The sequence below is a fragment of the Homo sapiens genome, chromosome 12, assembly GCF_000001405.40.
Source record: "Homo sapiens chromosome 12, GRCh38.p14 Primary Assembly".
NCBI lineage: Eukaryota > Metazoa > Chordata > Mammalia > Primates > Hominidae > Homo > Homo sapiens.
The window spans coordinates 32879745-32898026 of record NC_000012.12 but is presented as its reverse complement, the minus strand read 5'-3'; the positions used below and the strand labels follow the sequence as shown (position 1 = coordinate 32898026).

Here is an 18282-nt window from a genome sequence, read left to right as displayed (position 1 = left end):
GAGGGAAGCTGCGTTCTCCAAACACTTCAGACTTGAGTAAGTGGGGTTTTGCAGCAATTGAGTGATTTGAGGGAAAGTGAACATACAAACCCAAGCAATCAAAGGGAATATTATCTTAATACCAGGGATACATGTTTTTCTTTCTGCCTCTTAAGTCCAAAGAGGCAAATCAGGACAAGTGGCTTTGGTTGTAAACTTTAAGGTCAAGGATCCTTTCTGTTGAGCTTAGCTCTCAAGTTCTCAGTAGTCAACTGCGGTGAAACATAATTAATAGCACGATAAATACAAGTTGTGGAAGATTCGATTGAAAGTTGGAGGCCCTCTCCGTGGATCTCTCTACAAAGAGCCTGTAATAAAGAGGACTTAATCAACGTTAGCAGGGCTATTTAAAAAGCATCGTCTATTAAAATTCATTTCTTCTCTAGAGCCTCTTGTTGGAGTTTCTCTGTGTGGGTGTGTTCGTAAGAGAGGAATGGGTTAGCAAGAGTACTGGGTACAATTTGTGTATCCAAGAGAAAACAGAAGCTCTCAATGAGGAAGAACATATGTTTCTGGGACTGCATCTGTGCAAAAAGTACATAGTCCTGACGTTGTACTAAGAAAAAAAACACTCTCTTTAGAAAGTCTTTTATTTCACACGTTATCTTCTTGGCACATTTCCCTCATATTGCCCTTTCCGCCTGACCAAATAGCCCTTTCTCACCCTCAGGTCCAGGAAAACCAGGAAACGTTTCCAACAGTGCGACAAAGCCTGACTAACCAGACATACTACTCGCTCGGGGATCCCGGAGGCAAGCCTCAGTCCAAGAACAGGAGTGACTCTCGAGGGCTCACCTGCCTGCAGGGCAGCCCCTCCCTGCATCGAGCGGAAATCCATCCTGTCCAGCGCGGGGCGTGGGCAGAGCGGGGCGCGGCCCCGGCAGGCGGTATCCGCTGGGACTCCGACAACGTGCGCGACCCCAGGCGAACCGCGCCCCTCTCCCCACCTCCCCGCGGGCGGGTACAAGTCTCCAGGTGTCCGCGCGCTCAGCGGGTCCGGCCCGCCCCCGCCCCCGCCCCCGGGCCCGACTGCGCGTGCCCGGCCGGAGCCGCGCCCCCTCCTCAGGGAAGGCCGGGCGTCCGGCCCACGAGGCCGAGCTCCCCCCCGGCCCGGGCCTCTCACCGGCGCGGGGGGCGGGCCAGGGGCGGGGCCGGACTCGAGCGGGGCGGGGCTCGCGCCAGCGCCCCCAGCTCCGTGGCGGCTTCGCCCGCGAGTCCAGAGGCAGGCGAGCAGCTCGGTCGCCCCCACCGGCCCCATGGCAGCCCCCGGCGCCCCAGCTGAGTACGGCTACATCCGGACCGTCCTGGGCCAGCAGATCCTGGGACAACTGGACAGCTCCAGCCTGGCGCTGCCCTCCGAGGCCAAGCTGAAGCTGGCGGGGAGCAGCGGCCGCGGCGGCCAGACAGTCAAGAGCCTGCGGATCCAGGAGCAGGTGCAGCAGACCCTCGCCCGGAAGGGCCGCAGCTCCGTGGGCAACGGTGAGTGGAGCCCGCCGCTCCCCGGCGCCGCCCCCTGCCCCACACCCGGTCACCTCCTCCTATCCCGCCCTCACCCCGCGTGCTGGGAGTGCGGGACCCCGTGTTCTGCCCACCTGTTGCTCGCCGTCTTCGGTATGACCGACTTGCTTGTGGAAAGCACTCTTTTCCATAACCTATTACTCAGCTTTGTCATATAGGTACCTATGTATATTAAATATTGTACATATCTATCAATGTTAACTAACTCACTTCAAGATTTCACCCCTTTCTTTTTCTACTCCGCCGGTCCGCGCCCCTCACTGGTGCGGACTTAATTTGAAGGTTCAGGGAGTCTATAAACACCTTGAGATGCTATGCAGAATTTTTGGTGTGTACGATCTTTTTCTGGGAGAAGGAGCCCTTCAATTTTATTAGATTTGTTAAATAATTAATGACCCCCATAAATATCTTGGGGAAAAAAACCGACAGCACTGGCGCTCCTACAACCTATAAATTGGGATTGTGCTGTCTTATGCAAGTACTTCGGGGCGCTCCACCCTGTGTGGGAGGCGAGTGGTGGATCTAGGGAGTGAAGAAAAGTAGTTAGGAGGCTTTGGTCCAGGGAACAAACACGCCGAGGAGGAGGTAGGGGACTTTGGCCCTGCCGGCAACAGCCGTGCCCGCCTAGCTGCGCTTCCTACCCCCACCAGTGCGGGCGTGATGCAAGTCTGATCCCTCCAAAAAATTAAACCCGAAGGTGAAAGGGGTGTAAGCACACACATGCACACTATGTTCATGATTGATAGACGGGGGAGGTGGAAGGGAAAGAAGATGGCAAGCCACTTGTGAAAATTAGAGATCATGATGTATCCTTTTCTCCCCTGCTGAAGTCAGGTGATGGGATCAACTCAGTGACCCTTGTTTTACTTCTTGTTGCTGTGTATGTGAGTTTGCATTATAAAAGCACTATGTTGGCTTATAGCAAAAAGAAGAGGAAAGAAATTGAGCAATTAAGTTGGAATATCTGTTTCCTGCAACGTTCAGTTGTTTCTGTATGAAGTAACTTGGGCATTGGCGAATGTAGGCTAACCCATTCTAGTTTCTATTAGGAAAACAGAAAAATTCTAACAGGCCAGACCAGAGATTTCAAACAGCAGAGTCTGGGAGGCTGTACTGTGTGTGTAAAAGAATCCTAAAGGATGACGTAGTCAATATTAACATACTTGAAAGGTAAAGAGAAGATGTTCAATGATCGTAGTTAATATAACTGAGTGCATACTATGTGCCAAGAATTGGGCGATGTGGTTTGCATTCATTTGAGATATATATATATATATGTATTTAAAAACTTGTGAGTTAGGTATTTTCATCCTCATTTTACAGATGAGGAAACTAAGCAGTTAAGTAACACTGAAGCTCTAATAGATGGTAAGTGGCAGAGCTGGTATTTAAACTCCCAAACCTGAATTTTAAACTTATCAGTTTTATCATTAAGTTTTAAAATGATTAATACAAAGTGGGATTTGTTAGATGCTAAGCCTCTCCGTGGCCCCCTCCCATTTTTCTTTAAATAAAATTGAGGAAGTTCTGAAAGGCTGGGGAGGTCTAGAAAACACAGAACTGCTGCAATACATGGAGGGAAAGACCTTATATTTATTTAGACTTAGGGGTCTGACTAAAGACTGCGGGATGAGTGAGGCCAGTCTTTGAAAAGTGGAGCCATTACACCCATTCATTCTCTGTGCCCATAGGTCCAGTGCTAAACTGAAACCAAATCAGCTTCCCCTGCGTAGGAGACACAGGAGGCATATTAGATATTCTTTCTTATCCTCTGAGAATGGCCAGCTAGGAAGAGAGCAAGCAGATACAACTCTTCCATAAATGGAGGGAATGGAGCCATGAACAGAAGAAAAGGGAATGTTGCTGAGCATCTACTATGTGCCTATTCCAGAATCTTCATTATATTCTTGAAACAATTGCTGAGATAGATATGAGAATCCATCTCACATATGAAGTATGTGTCTGTCAGCAATGGTTGGAAATTTAATCCCAACTCCACACATAATCTGTTCTTTCTACAAAGTAATGCATCACCTGTGTGATGAATTCAGCAAGCATCAAATGAGTATGTTCTTCATGCCGGGCGCTGTGCAGGTGCTGAATTAAACACAAAGACTCTGCTTGCTTTAAAGCAAAAAGTTTGAAGAAGGAAGCCAACCGCTAGAAAAATACATTACCAAATAAAAAGTAGTAAGTGACCCAAAAGAATGGCTAATATATTATGGAGTTTAGAAGTGTAAATTGGCTGGGCGCAGTGACTCATGCCTGTAATTGCAGCACTTTGGGAGGCCGAGGCGGGAGGATCACCTGAGGTCGGGAGTTTGAGACCAGCCTGACCAACATGGTAAAATCCCATCTCTACTAAAAATACAAAATTAGCCGGGCGTGGTGGCACATGCCGGTAATCCCAGCTACTCAGCTACTCGGAAGGCTGAGGCAGGAGAATCGCTTGAACCCGGGAGGTAGAAGTTGCAGTGAGCGGAGATCTCGCCATTGCACTCCAGCCTGAGCAACAAGAGCGAAACGCCATCTCAAAAAAAAAAAAAAAAAAAAAAAAAGTAAGTTACTCCTGGTGGCAGGAAATTTTGAAAAGCTTCCTGGAGGTAGATCTCAAAAATTCAGTAGGACTGGACATAGGGAGGTGACTGGAGAAAGATCATTCTAGGAGGGAACAGAATGAATATTTCACAGTTCACAGAGTTGATATGGTAGAACAAAGGGCACTATCTTGGTCCTTCTGCTATAATGCTTGGGTCAACTACTTGACTGGCTGTTCCAACTAAGGAACAAAGCGTTTGAAATATTTTGATTGCAACAGCAGCTTTCCAGTAAGCTGAAATACACTCTGCAGCCTACACAGAAGTACAAATCAGACAGAGAGATAAGGCAGCAAACAACACCTACTTACTTTAAAGCCTCAGCTTTCTAAGACTCAAAAAGGAAATCAGCTTCAAAGGAATTTAACATTAGCATGCCATGAAACAATTACCAGGGGTGGTTCGTATGTATTGTTTAATTAAACTTCTTTGAAAAGGTCTGGGGGCTCGTGGTGGTTCTGAGTATAATTTTTATTATTTCCATGTTACTATCCTGTCTCTCAAGTTGAAACAGACAAGCAATTGTTGAAACAGTGCTGGTCTGGAAAAAATCCTGTATCAACACAAGAAATTCCAGGAAGAAAAGACCCTGATGTTAACTGCTATTAGCTCCAGGGCCCTGGAGAATTCTGAGTTGTTGACAAACCTGTAAGGTTGAGACAGCGGATAACCTGCTGAAAGCAGAGATGAGATAAATGTGGCTGATTTGTTGATAAGTATCTTGCAAGAGTCTTTAACCCTTTGTCTTCTTTCCAATGCCTTAGTATAGCTGGGTGGTTTTCATTGTAAATCACTCAGTGACTTTTGGTGTTATTTTTAACTGTGCTGAACATTTTAAAGTTGGCTGTAACTCTTTGGGAAGGGGCCTTCAGAGGTGTATAGCAGCATTGTGAAGTAAGTCTGTATTGTAGCTAATAGTTAAAATATTTTTCTAAAATAGAAGACATTTAAGAATTGCAAGTATTGGCAAAGGGAAAAATTAAAAGCATCCATATCCTATTTATTACACTTGCCTTAAAAGTACTACTTGCTACACAGTTCTCCCCCCCCCCCCGCCCCCACCCCAGGTATCTGAGTGGAGAGAAAATTGTGTTTTAAATTGTATTTACTACTTATAAAGGACAGTGAACAATCTCCTAATGCAATTATATTTACAACCTCTTTGGAAATCCACCACAAAACTTGAGGCACACTATTATCTTAGGTGATTTCCTTGGTGAAGCTGCTTTTCAATATCTGTGATCAAAGTGAATTCTGGGCTGGGCGCAGTGACTCATGCCTGTAGTCTCACCATTTTAGGAGGCCGAGACGGGTGGATTACCTGAGGTCAGGAGTTTGAGATCAGCCTGGCCAACATGGTGAAACCCTGTGTCTACTAAAAATAAAAAACAAATTAGCCAGGTGTGGTGGTGCATACCTGTAATCCCAGCTACTAGGGAGCCTGAGGCAGGAGAATTGCTTGAACCTGGGAGTCAGAGGTTTCAGTGAGCCAAGATCATGCCACTGCCTCCAGCCTGGGCGATGGAGTGAGACTCCATCTCAAAAAAAAAAAAAAAAGTGAATTCTGGAGAGAGAATTGAAAATTGGCTCAGGGTAGCAAAAGAAAGGTAGTTACTAGGCGCTACTGTTAAAAAAAAGTTAGACATTGTTCAAATTCTGCATAAATTCTTCCTTTGACAAAAAGGAATCCCAGGAATGAAGCAATTCTGGGGAGCAAGGTGACTAATCGTTCAGAAAGTAGGAGGGATCAGGAAAGGGAAAAAAAAGAGTGAGATGGCGGGTGGCAGGGTCATGGCCCTCTGCTCTGAATGTGAGGTGTCAGTAGCACACTGGATTAAATGCACCTCTGTGTCTGTGTAATATGGCCTGTGAGCCACTTTTTGTCCAGGGCCAAGCAGATTGAGTTCGGTAAGTCCAAAAATAATTAAAGAAATCCTTCTGATTATAGTAAGTGAAATAGAATGTTAACAAAATGGTAGTTAACAACAACAACAAAAAAAACTTCACACCCCTGGAAATGTTGAGAACACATCTCTTAGGGGTGAAGTTTTGTGTGAGGGTAAAGTAAGGATGCTTCAGAATCCGTGGAACTGTAAGAAACCACAAGTAGACCCAGAGTAGCAGGGTTTGATTATGAAAGTACATTGTTCTATATGTGACAGATAAGACGCAGGAAATTACCTTAAAGGAAGGAAGACTGTTCATTTAGGCTTTTAAAAGACTGTTGTTATCTGTATGCCCTGTGCTAAGAGTTCCACAGTCATGGGAACAGAGGGTAGCTTTTGTATTAAATATTCTAGGTATTTGTAGTTCACATTTCCTCAAAGTTTTAGATAGCAACTTTACAGTTTTTTCTCATTTATTAAAATAAGCCTATACATAGTTACATTATTTTATCTTCACATTTTAACATTGATTTTACCCTACAATTGAATTCCTAGTCTGATCAATACAAATTATTAAAAGTTTTGATTTTTTTTCTCTGAGAGAACAAGCATATTATTGGCAAACTATGATAGTAATGAAATATAATAAATATGATGCTAAAACCTCTGGAGTTTATAAATCAGATGATTAATATGGCCTATAAGATGATTTATTTCCATCTCAGATGACATTCAACAAGTTTAAATTATACAATTCTGAGACAAATGTTGGACTTCAGGTATCTTGTGCATGTCTACAAATATATGAAGATAAATACCCTACTTCTCCTGAGGAAGTAAATTAGCAGTAAAAGGCAGCAATGCAAGTGGGAATAGACAATAAATTAGGAGAAAACTTTATTTTTCTATTAGAGTGAGCCACCTGGCTCCCCTGACTAGTAGAGTAAGACTACTAAACAAACTATCAAGTGCTCTCATAATAAAAACATTAAAAACCTGTTGTGTGTCTTTTCTTTTCTTTTTTTTTTTTTTTTGTTTCGCTCTTGTTGCCCAGGCTGGAGTGCGGTGGTACGATCTCGGCTCACTGCAACCTCTGCCTCCCGAGTTCAAGCGATTTTCCTGCCTCAGCCTCCCGAGTAGCTGGGATTACAGGCACCCGCCACCAAGCCCAGCTAATTTTTTGTATTTTTAGTAGAGACAGGGTTTCACCATGTTGGCCAGGATGGTCTCGAACTCCTGACCTCAGGTGATCCGCCCACCTCTGCCTCCCAAAGTGCTGGGATCTCAGGCGTGAGCCACCGCACCCGGCCTGTGTATCTTTTCTATAATGCCATTTCTGGTAATTGGATATTGGACATAAAAACAGTTGTAATGTTCTTAAAGTGTTTAAAGACAAAAGCTTGAGAGCTCAATATGTAGATTTAAATAAAAATGGACAGTTGGAAAAAAAGAAACTTAAGCATTTGAAAACACAACCTGCCATTACTATTAAAATAATTCACATATTTATATTCTTGGAATAATCAGCTTTAGACTTAATAACATTCGTTAACCTAAGCAGTCATAATCAAAGTTCTGCAATTCCTTGATTTCCAGAATTTGTGGATGAAAACCTTCATTAGAAGCTTAATGGATTATTTTTTCTGAATCTCTCAGTAAGCTATTTATGGGGTGGGTGTGGGTGAGCATCAAGCTTATTGGATCTTGATTACTCTTTTTCATTGAAGAATGAAAACAAATGGGAACTTTTCTTGACAGATAATATGAATTTATAGGCCACCAAAATATTACAGATAAATACACAAGCCATACAGATAAAAGAATGATAGTAAACATATATTATTCAAATATAGAAACAACCTTGCCAAAATGAACAAAGTCAGCTTTTCTTTTTTTTTTTTTTTTTTTTTTTGAGATGGAGTCTCGCTCTATGCCCAGGCTGGAGTGCGGTGGCACAATCTCGGCTCACTGCAACCTCCGTCTCCTCGGGTTCAAGCGATTCTCCTGCCTCAGCCTCTCAAGTAAGTGGGATTACAGGTGTGTGCCACCACACCCGGCTAATTTTTGTATTTTTAGTAGAGATGGAGTTTCACCATGTTAGCCAGGATGGTCTCGATCTCCTGACCGATCCACCCGCCTCGGCCTCCCAAAGTGCTGGGATTACAGGCATGAGCCACTGCACCTGGCCCAAAGTCTGCTTTTCTAATAAAAGTCTGCCTACATTCTGGGGAAGCAACTTTCCTTCCTCTCCGTATACCCAGAATGACAGAGAACAGTCGAAACTATTTGAGCACCTTCCATCTACCCCAAGACAAAAGCATGTATGTGACTATCATACTCACATTTTAGTTCCATTCTGGTGAGCCACAGAATACATACCTGCCTGAATGATTAAGCGCAAACTGAATTTGTGTAACTAGGATATTTCTAATGTACAGGTAATCTGACTAATCAACAATTAACTTGTCAAGTACTGATACAAGACTGTGCTAGAAGTGGTAGTGTAAGATACAGTTCTTTCTGTCAAAATCTCTTTGGAAGAGAAAATAACCTCTTTGTTTTAACGTGGCCCCACTCCAATCCATTCTCCACACAGCTGCTAGAGTGAACTTTCTAAAATCTCATTGCATCATTTCCCAGTTTAAATTCCTTCAGTTTCTTACTGTTATCTGCAAGAGTAAAATTATTGAACACAGCATTCCAAGTTCTTCGTGATCTAATGCCTGCAACTTCTCAAACTTCATCCCTGGGGCCACTACCCTTGCTCCCCACCAAACACACACAGGCAGTTTATCTTGCTTGGTATTTCTACCCCTCCTTGTCTCCCTCCCTTCCTTCTCTTGCCCAGTTAACTTAGTTCAGTTGTGTCCCTTATAGGCAGCCTCCTTCACCCCTCTCCTCTGATCTTGAATGCAAGTTAAAGAATTTGATAATTGTGAGTCACAGATATTTCCACAGGGAAGAAACATGAAAAGTGCAGGAGTTTTGTGAAAATACATTTGACAGATTTGGTGGATTTAAAGTAGGAACAGACCTAGCATGGTGGCTCTTTCCTGTAATCCCAGCACTTTGAGAGGCCGAGACAGGAGAATCGCCTGAGGCCAGGAGTTCAAGGCTGCAGTGAGCTCTGAATGCACCACTGCACGCCAGCCTGGGCAACAGAGTGACCCTGTCTCAAAAAAAAAAAAAAAAGAGGCCGGGCGCAGTGGCTCACGCCTGTAATCCCAGCACTTTGGGAGGCTGAGGCGGGTGGATCATCTGAGGTCGGGAGTTTGAGACTAGCCTGATCAACATGGAGAAACCCTGTCTCTACTAAAAGTACAGAAAAAATAAGCTGGGCGTGGTGGCGCATGCCTGTAATCCCAGCTACTTGGGAGGCTGAGGCAGGAGAATCACTTGAACCCGGGAAGTGGAGGTTGCGGTGAGCCGAGATCGTGCCATTGCACTCCAGCCTGGGCAACAAGAGTGAAAATCTGTCTCAAAAAAAAAAAAAGAAAAAGAAAAGTTGGGTTAGCAGTTATGAATCAGTTGGGAGGGGTTAACCCTGGCACGTGAGAGGCAGGGGAAATATAATGACTTGAAAGTCATTACAAAGAAAACCTGTAGTAAGTATTTTAAAGCAAAAAATAATTTGTGAGTTCTATAAATTCACCTTTTTTTATATTATTGGGAGTATAATGTGATATTTGCCATGGAAGTTATAAAGTCTTACAAGTCTTAAAGTCTCATGAGATATCTCAGCAAATAATTGGCAGGAATGCCAAAGTAAAGACACAGTTACAGAAATGAACAGTGTATTCATTCATTCATTCATGAGACAGCGTCTGTCTCTGTTGCCCAGGCTGGAGTGCATCTTGGCTCACTGCAACCTCTGCCCCCCGGGCTCAAGCCATTCTCTCACCTCAGCCTCCTGAGTAGTTGGGACTACAGGTGTACGCCACCACACCCAGCTAATTTTTGTATTTTTTTTGTACAGATGGGGTTTTGCCTTTTTGCCCAGGCTGGTCTCAAATTCCTGGACTCAAGTGATCTGCCCACCTTGACCTCCCAAAGTGCTGGGATTACAGGCATGAGCCACCGTGCCTGGCTGAGAAATGAACAGATTTAGATACTTCCAGGATATTTCTATTTAATACTTCACCAGGATGCTAAATTACCAGTTTATAATAACAAATTCTACAATTACATATTCTAATACCTCAAACAAAATATGACATGAACACCTGTGATATAAAAGGGCCATTTAATGGCTCACGCCTAAAGCGCTGGCACTTTGGGAGCCCGAGGCGGGTAGAACTCTTGAGGCCAGGAGTTTGAGGCCAGCCTGGCCAACATGGCAAAACCCCATCTCTACTAAAAATACAAAAATTAGTCAGCATGGTGGCACACACCTGTAGTCCAGCTACTCGGAAGGCTGAGGCACAAGAATCGCTTGATCCTGAGAGGAAGAGGTTTCAGTGAGCCAAGATCGCACCGCTGCACTTCAGCCTGGGCGACAGAGCAAGACTCCATCTCAATAAAAAAAGTGGGAGGGGGACATTTAAAATGTGTTTTTGTCATTACCTAGAGCAGTGATTTGAGGATTGCCCCCCAAATGTCATAAATTGGTATATCAGAAGATAGCTCTTGAATTGCTTAGGGGGCTCCTGAAAAATAAGGACTCTAGTGGCTGGTATATCGTGTGAGTGATAACAGCAATGGATTAGTCAGTCGCACACTGGCATGTGGTATGTGTGGCCCACTCTTGCAGGAGAGCTGTTCTGTCCCTGGCATATTCAACGTTTTAAGAACTCATAGCCAGTACTTTCTAGCATATACCTGATACACCAAGTTGTTTCTCATGGTTGATTATGTGAGCTAACTGGTCACAAAATATAGCACTGTACAACTATTGGTTAAATTTTCAATAGTATAAAACTTTATTAGACTTTCATCTGCTTTGAAACAATTTTTCACCATAGTGTTCCCTTTTTTTTTTTCCTTTTTGAGACAGAGTCTTGCTTTCTGTCACCCAGCCTGGAGTGCAGTGGCCCAACCTCAGCTAACTGCAACTTCTGTCTCCAGGGCTCAAGCAATCCACCCACCTCAGCTTCCCAAGTAGCTGGGACTACAGGCCCATGCCACCATGCCCAGCTAATTTTTAAATTTTTAAAATTTTGTAGAGACGAGATCTCACTATATTGCCCAGGCTGGTCTCAAACTCTTGGACTCGAGTGATCCACCCACCTCAGCCTCCCCAAGTGCTAGGATTGCTAGTGTGAGCCACCCTGCCCAGCCAACTATAGTTTTCTAAACCAACAAATTCTACTTATTTTCCAGCCTAAGCAAATGCTTACTTGGGCTGTTGTGATTTCCATCAATATCTGGTTGTTCTTCTTGGAAAGTAAGAATAGAAGATAAAATATAGTTTTAAAAAATATGTAAGTCCAAGGAAATGAATCGTATGTTTTATGCCAACACAGACAGACAAAAAACAAAAAAAATTCCTTCACCAACTCAGGAGTGCGGACATACGTATGGTCTTTGATGAGTCTCAGTATATTTTCTGCTTTCTTTTAAGCTCCTACTATTGCTAGTAAATGACTTTAAGGATCCATTCAAATATGAATTGCTATACAAATTCCTCTGAATAAGTGGCAAGATCCCATGTCTTACCTGGAATAACATGTCCTCAACTTTACTGTAATGGGAGAAGTTAAATCTTTTAAGATTTGTGGAGAACGAGAGCTGTTGCAAGCCAGAGATTACTGTAGAAAGACCAAATAACAGTAAGATGATAAGCTTTTAGACTTTCAGGCTCTTTCCTTCTAAAAGACCATCGTGAATCCACACTGTGAGGACAACTGCTCACGGTTGTTAGCCCAATTACCTGCAGCATTTAAATCAATACTAATAGCGAACACCTGCTGATTTCTGTGGTTACATTTAACCACACCTGTTTTTGTGGGCACCTCTACATGTATCTTCATCTCCAGAAATCCTCCTTTTAGAGCTCAGTGTGAACCAAATCACTTTTTTTAAACCACACTCAGTGCTAGAAGATTGAAAGAAAAGACGCTTTTCTGAATGTGAGTGCACCTCTCTTCTCTCTAATAGAAGCAGGCTATATAAAGATCTTGCTTGTTTAGCAGTTCTCTGTCATTTGCTTACTATAAAAGAAACTGTAGTTGGTTTTTTATAAATATGCCCAGAAACAGGTAATGGAACCACAATAGAGACTTGTCAATTTGATTTCATAAATACATTCAATCTAACCAATTACATAATAAAATTGTTCACAAAACTGTGATTATGAAAATCAACTTAGTTTTTTTTTTGGGGGGGGGACGGAATCTTGCTCTGTTGCCCAGGCTGGAGTGCAGTGGCACAGTCTCACCTCACCGCAACCTCTGCCTCCTGGGTTCAAGCCCGGCCCCCAAGTAGCTGGAATTACAGGTGCCCAACAGCACACCTAGCTAATTTTTGTATTTTAGAGACAGGGTTTGTATTTTATGTTTTAGAGACAGGCTTTCCCCGTGTTGGCCAGGCTGGTCTCAAACTCCTGACCTCAAGTGATCTGCCCACCTTGGCCTCCCAAAGTGCTGGGATTACAGGCGTGAGCCACTATGCCTGGCCTTATTGACTATTTTAACCCTGACAATAATTCATTATTTCGAGCAATGTTTGTATTGGTGACCAAACACAAAGCTTCTTTTTCCATAACAGCTGCTTAGGAATCATATCATTCCAATGAACACTCAGATTGGGAAAGGGAGAAAATTACATTGTCCTGTGACGGCTTCACCTCTGCAATTTTCTGAGGAATTTAGAATCCTACCACCATCCAAACAGACCTCCTTCACCATTACCCGCCCCCGCAATTGGTTTGACCTGAATTGCTTGTTATTTGAGAAGAGTGGAGTTTAAAGTTGCTCTGCAACTACCTACTTTATTTTCCTTAAAATGGGCTCCATAAAATGTGCATGGTATTTTTAGAAAAAAGTATAGGTAATGTTGCCTGAGCCCATGTTAATTTGAAATATTTCCTAGTAAATCATCCCCTTCTTTAGGAAACATCGAAAGCACATTATGCACTGTGCAGGTGAAATGAATGGCTGGAAAACACAGTAATATCATCGTGCTCCTCAGTGACGGGTCAATCAGAAGTCACCAGAAAAAGTCCAATTCAAGACCAGTGGTAAACTTAGCAGAAAAAAAAAAAAAACTGCTCTACAACACAGTGTAAACCATGCACACTAGTTTATCCCTGTTATTAGAATAGACTAATTCATGAAAAAATGTGAAAATCAAATTTTTATGACTCAAATTCTATTTAGAAACCTTATCTCATTTTTGCATATTGCTTGTGTAGAGGAGAAAAGTTTTCTTTTCTTACCCGTCACCAGGTTTATGCCTGAGACCCCTATAACAAAAGACAGATTAAAAAGAGAAAAGCATAACAAATTTGTTTAATATAAGTTTTATGTGGCATGGGAGTCTTCAGAAATGAAGACCCAAAGAAACAGGGAAGACTGTATATTTATTTTTTTTCTTGAGATGGAGTCTCACTCTGTTGCCCAGGCTGGAGTGCAATGGCGTGATCTTGACTCACTGCAACTTCTGCCTCCTGGGTTCAAGTAATTCTCCTGCCTCAGCTTCCCAAGTACTTGGGATTACAGGTGCCTGCCACCACGCCCGGCTAATTTTTGTCATTTTAGTAGAGACGGGATTTCACCATGCTGGCCAGGCTGGTCTTGAACTGCTGACCTCAGGCGATCTGCCCACTTGGACCTCCCAAAGTGCTAGGATTACAGGCGTAAGCCACCTTGCCTGGCAGAAGACTGTATTTTTATAGACAGTCATGCAGAAGTCTGATGAGACAAAGGTGGGCCTGATCTAATGGTAATAAACTGAGGGAATTTAGCAAGGCTTCTTTGTTCAAATTCTTCCCTTTATGACATTCCTTTCCTCCAGGTATAGGGAGGATCCTTCTGGAATGAGTCTTTGACCTAATTCAAAGGAAGGTCAGCTTGATTTTATATGGTCTGCTTCAAGGGAGAAGGGGTGAGAGGAAGGCGTAAGGATACACTTCCTGCGCCTGCTGCTTCCTCAAATGCCAAGTGCCATATTTTGGGATGACACGTCCTGAAACCCATCACTTCACAATTTTGAAAGCGTTTGAGTCTATGCTTTCTCAGGTAAACCCTCTCTCTCAGCAGTCCTATTAGTAGCTGGAATTACGGGAAACAGGCATCTAACTGATTTGTCCAGACACATACAAAGCGGTAGAATAGGGGTTCCAGATGAAGCCTACGGATTTCTTCAATGTAGGGAAGATGCCTACTTCTTTTTCGAAATAAACAAATCCTTTGAAATAGAATCACACCTCAATTTTCAGTGTAAGAAAATCTGGATTTTCATGTTGGATTTGTTTAAAGCTGGATGCACCTTTGTGTATGTTTTTGTTTGCTTTCTTCTATTTTCAGAAAAGGACATGGCTGAGTTATTTTATATGTTCAACGGTCATCACGATATCATCTTATTCTCTGAACAGAAAATGACTTATTTTAAAGAAATTCATTTCCATCCTTATTAGTATTTACTTTAAAAAAATTTTACTCAGTCCAAAATTTCTTTAAAATCTTAGAACACAGCTATTAATTCATCTTTAATCCAGCATACTGATCTCAAACTCATGACTGCCTAGGCAAATTAGTCTGCAGTATTTGTTGTTTGAGATTGGCTATTTATCCAGAAAAACCATCGATTGTGCCAACTTGCAGGCTGAATATCTGGAGTCACATCTTTCATGTGTATTCCACAGGGAGAGTGTCTGTGATTTAAAAATTCAATCTTATTTTTTTCCCTGTTTCCAACTACTTTGTAGTTATTTGGCGAACCATTAAAACAGCCTCAGTTCATTCATCTGAAAACTGAAGAAGCAGCTTTCTTCTAAGAACTTATGTTGGCAAATAAAGAATTAATATTTACAGAGTATTTGGAGTTGCGTAAGTGAAGGTTTTAGAGGAAAGAAAAATAATTTTTTTGTCCTCAGATCAAAACTATAATAATAATCCCTCTAAGGCCTTGATAAATGACAATGTCATAGTAGCCACCTTGCAGTCAGACAGCAGAGACCAGGGGAAAGGAGGAACCCAGGTTGATTTAATAATCAACCCTGACTATTAAATCTCTTTGCAATTTAAAGCAGGTAATTTAAGTTTCCCTATTTATAAACAGAGATGATAGTAGCTGGCTCCGCATCACAGAATATTATAAAGGAACATAAAATAATTTGAGCTCCTTAAAGGAAAAGTCACATTGAAATGTAAGGAGTTCACACAAGTTGCTTTAAAAAGGCTTAAAACTCACAGCAACAACTTGAATGTTTAATGTCAGTTAAACATTTTAGTTCAATAAACCTGATTATAAATCTCACTGATTAATTAGCTATTTGATAGGAGATACTGTTTCACTGGGTCCTGTCCAAAGATTCTTACACATTTAGAAAACCTTTGCAGGGATCTCAGCTTAAAGATGGAAGAAGCACGCCATTAACTGTTCCTGAATATCTACCTACTCCTGGAATTAGGGCAAGGGTATATTCCAGGTGATGATGGGCTAAAGGGGCTGATTTACAGAGTTTTTCTTGAATTCCTAAAATTGCCTGCTTTCATCACCTGCCGTTTTATTATAGAGTAACAGGAATTAATGGTTCCAGCTACGGTCCATAAATGACCATTAGTACTTTGCCATTCTAGATTGTCCCTGACTTTCCTAATTCAGTTTTCATGTGGTCTAAAGGTTTGAACATGGATAGCCCTAAACTAATTTTTATAAAGACAGTAAATTGGATTTCTTATGTATCAGCTAACTAATAATGTTCTGCCTGGCTGTGGGCTTTGTACAAAGGCTTGTTTTATTGGGGGTGGGGATAGTGTAAGCACTCTCCCCAGCCACATCCCTCTACCCCGAACCCTTCCCCTTTCTGCATATTCCCAGTGCTGAGGGTACTCTGGCCCCCGGACTCTTCAGGATTAGAACCTTTTTATGTTCCCTGTACCTGGCCTGCTAGCCTCCTTTCCCACAGCAGCCTGGCCCTTGCAGGCCTACCTCCCTAGTGGCCTGGGGAGGAGAGAAGGAGTGCAGAGTAGAGGATAAAGGGTTAGCCTAGGCGCGAGCCTCAGCCAACATAAAATAATAATATGAGGCCAGACACGGTGGCTCACAGAGGCTGAGGCAGGAGAATTCCTTGAACCCAGGAGGCAGAGGTTGCAGTGAGCCGAGATCGTGCCATTGCACTCCAGCCTGGGCAACAAGAGCGAAACTCCGTCTGAAAAAATAATAATAACAATAATAATATGAGTTGCTTTCAACTTACTTATAATAATAAATGTCAGCGTCCTTAAGGATCCAACTGTTAATGTGTCCTTGATTTCTCTCTTAAATTGGCTGTCGGGTCATGGAAAAGATTGCTTTCAAGTAAGGGAGGCTGAGGCAGAAGGATCACTTGAGCTCAGAGGTTGGAGTTCAGCCTGGGCAACATAGCGAGACTCCATCTCTAATAAAATTTATAGAAAAAAATTTTTTTTCTTTATTTAAGGTCCAAGTTCCAGCCGTTCTTTGCCATAGAGATTAAAAATTAAGTGGCTGCCTGACCTTTTGCCAGCCCTTGTGGAGAAATCAAGCCCCTGGAAACAGGAGATGCCTGGTTTATCTCAACTGCTCTTGTCTCTAGGGTGACAGTTACAAGCCTGCCACTGCCTCCTCACAAGACTCCTTGAGGCCTGAAAATTGTTTATCAGGCAGATTGTTTGGCTATAGGAAATAAGGACACGTGTACAAACATAATTTAGGATGGATTTAGACTTTTTAGCTCTCTGGCAAAAATAATTTCAAATTACCATTCTCCCTCCCCTTGAATGTATCATCAGTATTTTGAAATTTTGTCTTTATAACAGTTTATTGGAAAAGTTATGTTGATGTGTTCCCATTGTACTGGAAAGGAGCACCCTGTGTTGTTGTATTCTCAACATCTTTCATGAGTCTCTGAAGCCTAGAAGAGTTAATTGAGTATATTTTCCCTCTGATTTCTAAAAAATGCTACATGACAGAAAAAAATTTCAGTTAAATGTAAGAAAGTAGATATTACTTGGCTTTTGGAGATTGTTGATTATTTTGATTAGCCTTTTTTTAAGGCAGTAAGAGAAAACTCAAAAAAAGCTGAGAGAAGGATAAAGGAGGCAGAAGAGGGACACAACATACTGCTTTCCACCACTCCCCCCTCCTCAGACAGGAGTATGTGAAGATATATGAGACAGGCATCAGTTGAATCCCTGTAGGCTTCACAGAGCTGAGCACAAAGGGCTGGCTGCTGTCTGTGTTTTCATGAGAGTGGGCTGGCTATTAGACCACCAAACAAAAGAGGGGCCAGGTGATTCCACAAAAGCAGCCATTTGGATGGAGCATAGAGGTTGATTTCCTTTCCTGCCTAACTCTCCTGTTGCCAAATATCTCAACCCCAGCATTGGCCTGAAGTTGATCCATGTTTCCCTTGATCATGCTGATCTACCCTGTTGTTTTTCTTGCTTTTGTTTTTGTTTTTTTGAGACAGGAGTCTTGCTCTGTCGCCCTGGCTGGAGTGCAGTGGCGCTATCTCGGCTCACTGCAACCTCTGCCTCCCGGGTTCAAGCGATTCTCCTGCCTCAGCCTCCCGAGTAGCTGGGATTACAGGCGCCCACCACCACCCCCGACTAATTTTTGTATTTTTAGGAGAGACCGGTTTCACCATGTTGGCCAGGCTGGTCTCAAACTCCTGACCTCATGATCCGCCCACCTCGGCCTCCCAAAGTGCTGGGATTACAGGTGTGAGCCACCACGCCCGGCCTATCCTGTTGTTTATACAAGCTGTCTTATCTAGTAGTGCTGAGTCACCATTATATTTATTGCCTACACCTGCTTATTACAAGAAGCTTCCGAATTCCTGCCTTGGGAACAGAGTTCTGTGACTCGGGAAACTGAATTTTATAGTCTCGACCAGCTAAACCAGACAATGAGTCCCAAATTTTTCAGCACTATAACAACCAAACATTTTTAGATTTTTGTGAATTTCCTCTCCCTTCTTTTTCTTTTTTTAAATTCAACTTTCATTTTGAAAACTTTTTTTTTTTTTTTTTGAGACAGAGTTTCACTCTTGTTGCTCAGGCTGTAGTGCAATGGCGCAATCTCAGCTTCACTGCAACCTCCACCTCCTGGGTTCAAGC

The 18282-nt window shown here is 42.7% G+C and overlaps 1 protein-coding gene across 10 annotated transcripts in view, besides 3 other annotated features; it reads left to right on the top strand.

Annotated features, from left to right (window-relative positions):
* Window positions 842-941: a silencer, noted in NCBI's record as "silent region_4341". NCBI's record gives its function as "represses an Ori minimal core promoter by ATAC-STARR-seq in GM12878 lymphoblastoid cells {active_cell/tissue: GM12878}" and the evidence as "EXISTENCE:reporter gene assay evidence [ECO:0000049][PMID:35858748]".
* Window positions 1142-1251: a silencer, noted in NCBI's record as "silent region_4340". NCBI's record gives its function as "represses an Ori minimal core promoter by ATAC-STARR-seq in GM12878 lymphoblastoid cells {active_cell/tissue: GM12878}" and the evidence as "EXISTENCE:reporter gene assay evidence [ECO:0000049][PMID:35858748]".
* The window catches only part of PKP2 (plakophilin 2), a 106023-nt gene continuing 88990 nt past the window's right edge, over window positions 1250-18282 (top strand). For 6 of the 10 annotated variants that reach the window (NM_001407156.1, NM_001407155.1, NM_001005242.3 and 3 more), the window contains exon 1: window positions 1250-1518. In NM_001407156.1, the coding sequence (NP_001394085.1) occupies window positions 1296-1518 (223 nt within the window). In that variant the 5' untranslated portion in view covers window positions 1250-1295. Of the gene's footprint in view, window positions 1519-3248; window positions 3748-18282 lie in introns of all 10 variants that reach the window. The other 4 variants (NM_001407160.1, NM_001407159.1, NM_001407158.1 and 1 more) reach the window with 2 other exon arrangements.
* Window positions 7147-7647: an enhancer, noted in NCBI's record as "H3K4me1 hESC enhancer chr12:33043314-33043814 (GRCh37/hg19 assembly coordinates)". NCBI's record gives its function as "activates a minimal SCP1, AML or CMV promoter by ChIP-STARR-seq in naive H9 embryonic stem cells {active_cell/tissue: H9 hESC(naive)}" and the evidence as "EXISTENCE:reporter gene assay evidence [ECO:0000049][PMID:30033119]".